The sequence below is a fragment of the Homo sapiens genome, chromosome 3 (assembly GCF_000001405.40).
Source record: "Homo sapiens chromosome 3, GRCh38.p14 Primary Assembly".
Lineage (NCBI taxonomy): Eukaryota > Metazoa > Chordata > Mammalia > Primates > Hominidae > Homo > Homo sapiens.
The window spans coordinates 89122722-89135672 of NC_000003.12; the positions used below are offsets into that span (position 1 = coordinate 89122722).

The following is a 12951-nucleotide window of genomic DNA, read 5'->3' on the forward strand; positions in this document are numbered from 1 at the left end:
CTAAAAATCAAAACTCCAGAAACTTGTACATTTTTAATCCGCCCTCACTAACTGGGAACATTTGTTTCAAGCCCTTCTTTTAGTAACTGAGAATTTGAAATAAAAAGTCTTAGTTTGTTCCTTTTACTAAGAAGAAAAGACTATGTAAATTATTTGAATAGGCAATTATTTGTGACACTACCAATACTAATGAGCAATTTTACTAGGAGTGGACTTTTGATTGAGTCTCTCCATTGTGACAGAGGATAGGAAAGGAAGAGAGAGGATGACTCTGGGAATCTTAATCCCACAATCCAAAAGAGGGGGAAACATAACAGTAGAAATCAGTGGCAGAAATGACATCTAGGTTTCCTCCTTTCCATAAGTACTTATTACCAATTTGAGCCAATTTGCTCTATACTTTCCTCCTTTTTTTGTTTGTTTGCTTTGTTTTGTTTGTTTTTGAGATAGTTTCGCTCTGTTTCCCAGGCTGCATTGCGGTGGCGCAATCTCGGCTCACTGCAACCTGCGCCTCCGGGTTGAAGCGATTCTCCTGCCTCAGCCTCCCAAGTAGCTGGGATTACAGGTGTGTGCTGCCATGCCAGCTAATTTTTGTATTTTTAGTAGAGATGAGTTTTCGCCATGTTGGCCAGGCTGGTCTTGAACTCCTGACCTCTGGTGATCCACTTGCCTTGGCCTCCCAAAGTGCTGGGATTACAGGCATGAGCCACCGCGCCCGCCACTATACTTTGTTTTTACTCCTTTACTCCATTCTACACCTTCTTATTTACGTCAGAAACCACCATTCCTTCTTTCCAGATCTTAGTAACTTAGTGCCCATCTGAAAGTCAAATCAACAGTCCAAGTAAGGATTGCCTTCCCCTTCTTATGAATATAAGCCCCTTCTAGTCATACATCTCTATTTAAAAGCAATTAGAGGCAGTAAAACATGTGAAAGAAAAACCTAGAACCATATCCATCTATACTTAAGATGGTGTTTTCCAAATTCATTTTTGCCCAGAAAAACTCCAGTTATTTATTTACCAACTTAAATAGAATCATGACATTTAAAAACATTTCCAATTTAAATCACTTTCATTAAAAAAGTTTATATATTCCACATAGTTTTTTGAATATAAAATATTCTAAAATTAACAAAATAATGTGTTTTCTGTTACACACCAAAAATATTTGGCAATCACATCATTAGAATATGAAATCTGGGAAGGGGTAACTTACAGCTTTGATAAATAACTGGCATGAGACAGCCATTAAAGAATGAAGTCATGCATATGTTCCTATCTAGCCTTAAGAAAGTTTTCTTTTTGTCAGATTTTATCATTGCGAACTCGTATTGTCCAGCAATTGAAATAAACTATCCAACTACTAGTGCAATTAAAATTCAGTCCACAGTAGTATATTTGTATGTCACAACTCATTAGCCTATCCTGTCTGTCCTAGAGTTTGAAAGGAAATGATCAGGTCTAGATATGTTTAGAGAGGGGACAGCATTATAGTAACCAAAGTTCTTGCCTGTATCAGTGTGAGATTTAAGATATGTATTGCAATGTTACATTGAGTCAATGTATGCAGAGAAATCGCTCACAGATTTACTTTGAAATTCCATTCATTGTCTTTTCTTACCTCAATTATGCTGTATACTCAAACAGTTCTACAATGGATCACAGGAGATTTGAGGTTTGTATCCTGGGAGTCCCAATTAAGTAACAATTCACTTTAAAGTATTTAGAATTCTTAGACGGTGTTATTTTTATTTGGGTACAAACAAAAGGCACTTTATAAATCCAAAGTATGTGCTTTTAAAGTGTGTTTTGAAGTTAACTATTCTACTCTACTAGATCATGTATTTAGGTCATGTAATTGAATTATAAATACAATTTAGAAGCCACAATGGAACTGTTGTTAAATAATATTAATGTATTAAATTTACGAGAAGGAAGTCTGTACAGCATGTTATAAACTCATGGTGGATTTAAAGATATTTATGGTATTTGAACATTACAGCAACATTGCAAGATACTCAGGGTAGATATAATTGATAGACAATAGAATCAGTCAGAAGTAATGCTGCTAATTGTGTTTTTCTCATTTATGCTGAATAGAGTGCACTAAAAATTTAATTTCTGAGTAAATGCAATAAATTTAATTAATCTTCTACACTTACTTTAATTGACTGTATGGTCTAACCTATTTTGGTTTATTTGTTCTCCTTTGAGTAGAAACCAAATGCTGATGTGATTAGTCCAGTTCTTTTCCATTGTTCTTATTATCAGAAGAAACGTAAGGATATGGTAGTTCATTAGTTGACAACCTACATTCCAATAAGTAATTTACTAAATGGAGTCTATGTAATAACCATATCTTCTTCTTCTCACTCTGGTTACTAATACTGAGATTAAACTAGTGATTGATCTTAACATGTGGAGTAACATATAATTATCATTTAGTAATGTGCAATTACTACCTGAACACAATGATACATTAAGCCATTTAAACCCCTAAGGACATTGCAAATATAATCTAATAATTTATGTATACTGGCAAGCTGATTTCTACTATGCAAATCCCATATAAAGCTCAGAGAAATTAAATGATTGGTATCACACAACTAACAACTGAACTAGGTATATCTTTTATCAGAATAAATGTTAGTAATATCCTTTAATTTAAAGGTGAGGAAGTATTTTCATATTTTCAAAAATTTTCTAACAGTTATCTGAAATATAATCTATAACATTGATTAATTGGTTGAGGGTATTTAATTATTTTTCAGAGATAATTGCAATATAATTAAGCATACTGTTAATTTCCAAACTGATATCCTGGGAAATAATTCAATTATGGAAATTATACTATGTAATCCATGCAGCGGCTATCTATCTTCTGTTTTAATTTAAATACAATTACTTCTAATTAGGATTAATTTATTGGGAAAAAATTCTTTAATCATTAAGGAATTATAATATAAAAGGTAAAGTTTATGTTTGTCTTTCACTAGCAAAACGTAAAGAATCTAACTTTGAGAATTGTATTTCTTTTAAATTGTAGTGATCAAGAGCCTTACTTTTACCCATTTAATTTATTTATCAACTAACCAGATAATCAAAATTTTAGTACTGCTTGAAAATTTAGAAACCTAATGTCTATCAAATATGTAATTTATTTTTCTTAACATTTTATAAGATTAATATTTCCTTCACAAAAAAATAGTTGAGATGATTTTTTAAAGTCTATCAAATACACAATTTATTTTTCTTAACATTTAAAAGATTAATGTTTGCTTTGCAAAAAAAAATACTTGAGATGACTTTTAAAAGGATGGTGCTTTTCATGTATCAGGAAACACTTTATAAACAACATGAGAACATGTTGTGCGGTGTATGTATTTACATTATGTTTTGGTTTGTGTATATATGTAACCCCTGAAAATGATTCCCTTCTATTGTATTTATTGATTTTCATGGTCTGGTTCATGTTAATAATGCATGCTTAGTTTATGTAACCTTCCTTCACATCCTCCATTAGTCAATCATGGGATTGTTTTCTAATTTAGGAGAAAGATGAGGTAAAACCATAGTTTCCATTATTTAATAGGTCAGATAGACAATTAAAGTGAACCTTTTGTTATTGATTGTATTTGAAATGCTGTTGTATATTTTATTTTCTAACCTATTACAAATGAATATTCAGTATGGAAAATAAACAGTGTTCCATCTTCTTTTAATAATATATTAAAAATGCAACCATATGCATGCTATATTTTACTTTTTGTATACAAATATCGATTAAAAGTCATTAGAACTAGCACAAAGTTCTGAGTAAAACCACTAAAGCCTTTGAGTAAAAATAATTACTTTAAATAAGTAAAGCTTTACACAGGTGTTATTATAAAACATAGTTTTACTTTGATTTCTCCTCAAATTGGTAGTTAAGCTTTTTGTGTGTTACATATAAGTAAATAATGAATACATTTTTAAAAAATACACATTGCAGAATAATATGTTGAGTATTAGCCAGGGATGATATGAAGGTGTCATATTAGATATAAATAAACAGATAAATTGACTCATTCTGTCAACATATTTAAGAAATGAATTAATTGTGGAATCATATGTAAATTTATCAAATTTAATATTTTTGAAGTTATTTTGATATGCTAGCATTAATGTTGTTTTCTATTATGCATTTTTATTGTTTCCTCTTTAAACCCATAATTATTATGCCAGAAATTGCCAGTATATTGAACATTAACCTATCCTTGTAAACAAATGCAAACAGTTTAAAAGGACACAGAAACTTTTGATCTCTTAACTTTCCCTGTGTATTTTTTGTAATTTCCTTCTTTTTATCCTAATTATAGACTTATAATGAGAAGGAAGAGTTATGTTTTTTGAGCAACATCAACAACAGACAATGTGAACTCAACAGAAGCAAATAGAAATAATTCACTGTTATTAACTGTGTTTGTGTATTATGTTTTATTTTAGTCAATCTACTGGATTCAAAAACAATTCAAGGGGAGCTGGGCTGGATCTCTTATCCATCACATGGGGTGAGTTCAATAAACTATCACAAGGAAACATTTTCTCTATTACCTGTCTTAGGGAGCAGATGAATTTATTGTATTCTCTAAAGAGAACTCTTGTACTTCTGGTGACAAATTATACTTATAGGAGTATTCAATATATGGAGTACCACAGCTTGACATTTGTGTCCAATGGAGCTAGTGAGAATTTTGAAGATTTTTTTTCTCCTTAATTTATCAATTGCTTGAATGGACTGATTAAATAGTTTAATTATTATTGGCATCATGTCAATGATCTAAGAGTGACTTTTTTTGATGTGATCAGAATAAGTGAATTAATTAGACTGTCTAAATTTCAGGTAATGTAGAAAGTGTGTATTTGGAGACGGTAATCTCCAAAGTCATAGCCTTAAAATCAACCTCAGTAACTGCTCTTCCAAGTAGTTAGAATTTATTGGTCAACAGTATAAACCTATGTTGTCTTAATTTACTTGTTTCAAATGTCTACAGTTTGCCTAGATCAGCTCAAAAATGGGAATATTACTTAGAAAAAATCTGCTGCTGCCTTTAAGTTTTAAACTTTTTACATAGCTTTGGTATTTTATCAATCCAGATACAAATTACAGAGTGTGTAGCATATTGGTGTTCTGAATGACTATAATGAGGCTTTTATGGGAGAACATTTTTCTTTTATTTTTTCTGAAAAATGAGGGGAGTGTTATTTACATTTCTCAAACTCTTTTCCCTACACAATTGTGTAATAAATTCCTGAGCATACCTTTTTGTTTCTAAGTATAGTTTGTGAAATATGTGAAGTACTATTTTGAAATATTTGTCATAGGAACAAATTTATGTATTCCTGTCCTTCTATGATAGTCGTCTTTTCAAGAGATTGTAATTACTTCCACTTCGTGTTGGCGTTCAGTCTTTAGATTTTTGTGCCTAAATATACACAATTTTTTGATAGCACCAGCTTCTTCACCAGCGGATGTTTTCCATCAGAGATACTTCATCTATCTGTCATCTTTGTATCTGCTTCTCTTCCTGACACACCTTGACTTTGACAATATGCCAAAACCTAAAATCAAGCCTTCATTAGTTACTTTAGAGGAGAGAGTATGAAGTAAGCCAGGATTTGGTTTTCCCAGAGGTGTAAAAGGAATCAAATGATTAAGATAAAAGCACAGCCTAGGTTGTCATAAAGAGTGAATTGAAACTCAAGTTTGAGCTGGAAAACTCATTTGAAACTAATCATCTAAAAGTCAAACCTCACCTTAATTTGATTTTAGAAATTTAAATTTTTCATGACTCCTTCAGATAATATACCAGAGAATCTGCTGCTTCAGGATATAAGAAAAGCAAAAGCTATGGTAACATTTAGTAACTATATATTAGTATATGGTATACTGTATACCATATATAGACATACTATATACTATATATACTATATACTCAATAATATAGTATATATATTACTATATTAGTATCTATAACTAATAGATATGTATATGTTTCTTTTTAAAACAAGAAATCATCTTATATTTCACAGCAACAGTCTGGCTTATGTTTTCCTTTAAAGAAGGTATAATGGTAACACATTTTTTATATTGGGAATTGGGGGAAATGAATTCCCCCATTGTTATTCTCATAGATAATGTGATGGGATAGAGTTGGCACATCTACTTCCAGAGCTATGTTGGAGGTAGACAGTGGGGTATTCTTAGCACCTTGCTGGGTAAAGTGTGGCACAGGGACAAACCAGCAACATCAACATGTGGGAGATTGTTAGAAATGCAGACTACCAGACCCTGCTCCAGACATTGTGAATCAGAATGTGTATCTCAATAGGTGACTCTTTAGCACATTGAATTTGAGAAACACTCCTCTGCATAAATTACCTCTTCACATTTCCCATCTCTGGCCCAATTTACTGTCTCTTTGTTCCCCAGAAATCTCTTATAACTTCCACAGTCAAAAGTTTTCAGTTTCTTCTTTGGTTTACTGTTGCCTCAGAGATCCCCACTTGGACCCATTAGCTCCTCTTCATTGCTGTCCTCTGTTGATCTTGCAACTGTGATTTTCCTATTTCTGATGCATAAAATAGCCTAAAACAGTTGGTCATTCTCTTCAAGCTTATCATTATTATTTGCAGGGAGAAAAGAGACACTCCCCAATAGTTCATGAAACTTACAATACCTGAGAACTCCGAAGCTAAAAAAAAGAATAAAATCAAATGATGTGAATTATTGTTCTGTGGTGATATATAGTGTATATTTCCTTTAAATTTCCCACATATAAAGTTAACCATAATATATATAAGGAAATATATAGTGCAGATTTAGAAAACATTAGATTGTTTTTTTTTTTTTTTTGAGAAACTGACCAAATTACTGGGTGAAAATAATGTATGGTAAGTTTAGGTTTTGGATTTAATAGCCTGGCATATACAAATATTTGTGCCTCTAGATTCAATTAATTATTGTTATTGCTCTCATTTTTAATATGACAAGGATAGATTAGTTTTGTGGTTGTATTGTTTTTAAAGGAAATAGATACTTATAACAATTGTGATATCCTTGCTGAAACGTTTTTCATAAAAAAAAGACAAGTAATAGCTGGAAATAACTTTGAGTTTGTTATTTTTCAAATTAATTAACTCTAATAACTGGCAGTACATCTGACTGGAGGATAACTAAAATATGACTGTAAACTTAAGAGGAAAAAATCATAATAACAATATTATACCATATTAAATCACTGCAAATTCTCACTCTTGATTTAGGGTAGTGGTTCTTAACAGGTTGAGCGAGTAAGGGAAGAGGGAATTTTTATTTTGCCTCGGTGGGATATTTGGCAATGTTTGAAGACTTTTGTAACAACTGGAGAAAGCAGGCACTTTTACATTTAGTAGGGGAGACAAGAGGTACTGCTAAATATCTTCCAATGAACATGGCAGCCCCTAAAAAGAAGAATGACCTGGTCTAAAATGACAGTGGCTAAATTGAGAAACTCTTACTTAGGGGATTAATAATAGCATTCCATCAGGAAATGTCCATAACTAAGGAGATTTGGGAGACTGCCAGCTCCCTCTCTAACTTCCAATCATATTCTCATCAGAAGCTCTAAATTCCAAATCTGTTGAAATATAAATTTTAAAAAATAAATAAGTGATTCATTTCAAACTTGAATCTTTCATGGAATGCTTGTATCATCTGAGCTATAAAAAATTAACATATTTGGAGAAAAATGGTGAAGAGTAGTTCATTCCTACATATAATTTCTTTTCTATTTCTATTCTTCCTTTTCCTCCAAAGACGTATTCATACATGAAACTTTACAATTCACCTAGGTAATTTTCTTGGGAGTAGTATTTCTATCTCCTTTTTTTTTTTTTTTTTCTTTTTTTGAAATGGAGTCTCGCTCTGTCACCCAGGCTGGAGCGCTGTGGCGCGATCTCGGCTCACTGCAAGCTCCGCCTCCCGGGTTCACGCAATTCTCCTGCCTCAGCCTCCCGAGTAGTTGGGACTACAGGCGCCCGCCACCACGCTCAGCTAATTTTTTTGTGTTTTTTAGTAGAGACGGGGTTTCACCGTGTAAGCCAAGATGGACTCGATCTCCTGACCTCGTGATCCGCCCGCCTTGGCCTCCCAAAATGTTGGGATTACAGGCGTGAGACACCGCGCCCGGTCCCTATCTCCATTTTTAAATGGTGCTTCATATCTTAGAGAAAACCTTGTAGGGAGATATGATACTACATATATTATTAGGCCTTGGACTAATTCTCCAAATAAATATCTGGGAGTAAATTTAATGAAACTTTAATTTTCTCTAAATGAAGGTCATGAAAATAATACTCAAATTTGTAAACTGAAATTATTTGTGGAGGTCGTGAATAGCAATTCATTTTTCAATGAAAGAGTTTTATTTGACACTCATATAATCTGGCATTATATTTGGTGACTTTAGCAAAGCAGACTGAAGCAGTTACCTTCTCTGGCCCTATAAACTATGAATGATATGATATTTCAATCCAGGGCTTAATTTTATTCAGAAATTTGGGTAAATAATTCAATCGTTCTAATATTAATATTTGATTTGGAGAACAATCAACACATATCAAAGCCTCTATATATTGTTAGGTTATTGTTTTTTTCTAAAAACAGCCTTTTGCTTACACATGACTTAAATTGATTGTACTTAAATTGATTGATTGATTGACTGATTGATAGTGTCTATCTACCACGTAAACTTTCTTAGACTACATATCACTACATAAATGCATTGGAGGAGAGATCCAAGGAAGGTTGAGCTACACAGTTTTCACTTAGTATAGTATTGATATTGTGATTAACTAGTACAAAGAAATCATGAGCTATGACTCACTTAATTAAAGAAACTCCAATAAGAAGAGAGTGAGGACTGGCAGGGTTCAGGGAGTGTAGAAAAAGCACTGTCTGAAATGAGTAATATATGTTTGTGGAAAACAGAAAGAGGTATCCGAATTAGTAATTGTGGAATTAAAGTTTCTTTAGATATTTATTGATGTCTTAGCGGTGAACATGCACTTAAAGGAAAACACTCTTTTGGCAAATAGGGAGCTTGTTGATTGCCCACCCAATATCTGTTCGCTGGATTCTCCTTGCTGATGAAAGAAACATCGATATTGTTCAAGTTTTCACCCTCCCAGGTGTTCCTGGAAAATGGCCCCTCTGCGACTCCATGGGTTGAATGCTGATTCATCTTGGAACTAATCATGACCATGATAGTTATTGTTGCAGGGATTGGTTGAAGCAAGTGTAAGTAAAGCCAATGAGACTGGTGCAGAATTCCAGTGATTTCTAGGAAAGGTTTTCCTCCTGATGGAGAGATAGGGAGAGACCCATCATTTCCTCCGTTTGGGCTTGTTCTGTAAAGGCTCTGGGTCTGCAGCAGCTGCATTTCTCTCGGGACTAGAAAGGCAGAGCCCAGTGAGCATAAGAGAAGCCAGCATGGAACCTTGATATCACTGAACCACTGAATTACGTGAAAGAATGCCTCTTCTTTGTTATTTAAGCCACTCTTAGTGTTTTTCATGCTTTCAAATAAAAGGCATCCTTACAGGATAGAATGTTTTATCTTTGCTCAAATATTCTAATTTCTAAATGGAGGCTATGGCTATGGCATAATTGTATATTATAGTGTTATTTATATTTTCCAGATTGTCTTTTTTGGTACTTTAGTATGATGTCAAAAATAATAGAGTAGTAAAACAGGTTAAGAACATTGGTTAGAATTGAGGCATCTGCATTTCCATTCTATCTCTACCACTTATTATATAATCAGATGTAAGCCAATTAATCAAAAACTGACCAGGTGGCTCATACCTGTAATCCCAGCGCTTTGAGAGACCAAGGCAGGAGAATCACTTGAGGCCAGGGCTTCAGGATCAGCCTGGGAAAACACAGTGATAACACCCCATCTCCAATCAATCAATCAATCAATCGATCAATAGAAATTAGCCTGGAGTGGTGGCCTTCACCTGTAGTTCTAGCTACTCAGGGGGCTGAGGTGGGAAGATTGCTTGAGCCCAAGAGTTCCAGGCTGCAGTGGGGTACGACTGAGCCGCTGCACTCTAGCCTGAATGACGGAGCCAGACTCTGTCTCTCAAAAAGAATTTTTTTAAATCTTGAAAAACATTTGTCTTCACCTCTAAAAAAAGGAATTAGAGTAATTCCTATGTCATATCACTTTAGAGCAAATGAGATTTGAGCAACTGAAATATTTCTATGCATCTAAGAATACAAATACATATAATACATGTGAAAGAGCTATATAAATATCATTTCTTATTCTAAGACAAGCTTTGAGGTTCTCCCATTTTAATTCAAACTCTTGCTAAATTCATTTACATGTCTCCTTAAATCTCAGTCTACACTTGAGGTCTTGAATTTGTATTTAGGAGAAGGAAAGTTGACAGTGTTGTGTGAAGTCTCAGCAGGCACCTCTTCTAAATTCAGAGCCCAATACATTGCCTCTGATGTCACTTCATTTTTATTTCATATAATCTGCACAGACAAAAGTTCGCATACAATCTTGCTGCAAAAGGAATTGCGGTTTTGGACCACGAATTTTAAATCATTATTACTAGGCTCAAACACATCTTTATTAGTCAAAGTAGGAACCATTACAATCATCACATTTTTGTCAACGAGAAATAAGTTTGTTTATTCCTGTAGAATAAAAATCTGTGCTTCGGGATTCGACGAACTCTTGGAAAGCATTTTCTGCATCCTGCTAGTTGTGGAAGCGATTTCCCTGCAAAAGGTTCTGGAGATGCTTGAAGAAGTGGTAGTCGGTTGGCGAGAGGTCAGGTGAATATGGCAGATGAGGCAAAACTATGTAGCCCAATTTGTTCAACTTTTGAAGCATTGTTTGTGCAACGTGTCATTGGGCATTGTCGTGGACAAGAATTGGACCCTTTCTGTTGACCAATGCCGGCTGCAGGAATTGCAGTTTTCGATGCCTCTCATCAATTTGCTGAGCATAATCTTTGAAGTAATGGCTTCACCGGGCTTCAGAAAACTGCAGTGGATCAGACCAGCAGCAGACCACCAAACAGTGACCACGGCTTTTTTAATGCAAGTTTGGCTTTGGGAAGTGCTTTGGAGCTTCTTCTTGGTCGAGCCACTGAGATGCTTGTCACCAGTTGTATAAAATCCACTTTTCGTCGCACGTTACAATCTGATCGAGAAATGGTTCACTGTTGTGTAGAATCAGAAAATGACACTTCAAAACAACATTTTTTTTTTTTTTTACTTTCGCTCAGCTCATGAGGCACCCACTTATCAAGTTTTTTCACCTTTCCAATTTGCTTCAAATGCCGAACAACCGCAGAATGGTCAACTTTGAGTTCTTCGGCAACCTCTTGTGCAGTTGTAAGAGAATCAGCTTCTATGATCACTCTCAGCTGGTCCTTGTCAACTTTCTTTTTTTTTTTTTAAAAAAATTATACTTTAAGTTCTAGGGTACATGAGCACAACGTGCAGGTTTGTTACACATGTATACACGTGCCATGTTGGTGTGCTGCACCCATTAACTCGTCATTTACATTAGGTATATCTCCTAATGCTATCCCTCCCCACTCCCCGCATCCCACAACAGGCCCTGGTGTGTGATGTCCCCCTTCCTGTGTCCAAGTGTTCTCATTGTTCAGTTCCCACCTATGAGTGAGAACGTGCGATGTTTGGTTTTTTGTCCTTGCGATAGTTTGCTGAGAATGATGGTTTCCAGCTTCATCCATGTCCCTACAAAGGACATGAACTCATCATTTTTTATGGCTGCATAGTATTCCATGGTGTATATGTGCCACATTTTCTTAATCCAGTCTATCATTGTTCGACATTTGGGTTGGTTCCAAGTCTTTGCTATTGTGAATAGTGCCGCAGCTTTCAATGGCCGGTCACTATGCTCCTCATCTTCAAGGCCCTTGTCTCCTGTGCAAAATTTCTTGAACCACCACTGCACTGGACCTTCATTAGCAGTTCCTGAGCCAAATGGGTTGTTGGTGTTGTGAGTTGTCTCCACTGCTTTACAATCCATTTTCAACATCAGTAAGAAAATTGCTCCAATTTGCTTTTTGTCTAACATCATTTCCATCGTCTGAAATACATATAAAACAAACAGCAAATAATAAGTCATTACCAAAAACAAAACGAGAAATGCACATTAAAATGATGTATAACATATTTCACACTTAATTCAGAATGTATTCCAATATCAAATGGCAAATTTCAACAATGCAAACACTGCAATTACTTTTGCACCAACTTAATAATTGAGGCAGTTTAAACATAGTAATTTGGTATGCAGTTTATTTATAATTTTTAGTGATGAGAATGTTCTCAAATATTGATATTTCAGATTTCAGGTCAAATGTTACTTTTTCATGGAGACCTCCTGACTTTTCACAAGCCACCCTCCTGCCCCACCACCTCCTAAATGACTGTCACCCCTATTCCTAGCATACAACACCTGATAAGTTCCTCTACCTCCTTATGCATGTTCTTTGTTGTATATCCACAGCTTACAATTATACATTAATGCAATCATTTGATTGATCTTTATTTCAGCCAGGAAACTGCAAGCTGTGTGAGGCCAATCCCCATTTCATGAAATTCTCCCTTAACTCTCAGCATTTACAGTTCCTGTATTAATTGCCCATTAATTAAAATTATCTAAAAAATGAATAATAAGAGCTTTCCCAAATAAGAGAGCTAACAACGATTTTTGTTTTGTTTTGTTTTTTGAAAATAATTTGATGATTTACACTATATTACTTGAAATAATGTCTTTTAGGGATTTCATTGTCTCTTTTAATGGCATAAAATTAAGTACAATTCTTATATATAAACGCATATATCTTGAATAATCTATAATATATCTATATT

General features: G+C 34.2%; 1 protein-coding gene across 5 annotated transcripts in view; it reads left to right on the plus strand.

Moving 5' to 3' along the window:
- EPHA3 (EPH receptor A3) overlaps nt 1–12951 on the plus strand; it is a 374514-nt gene that overhangs the window by 15101 nt on the left and 346462 nt on the right. For all 5 annotated transcript variants that reach the window (NM_005233.6, NM_001410778.1, XM_005264715.4 and 2 more), the window contains exon 2: nt 4488–4552. In NM_005233.6, coding sequence (NP_005224.2) covers nt 4488–4552 — 65 coding nt within the window. The remainder of the gene's footprint in view (nt 1–4487; nt 4553–12951) is intronic.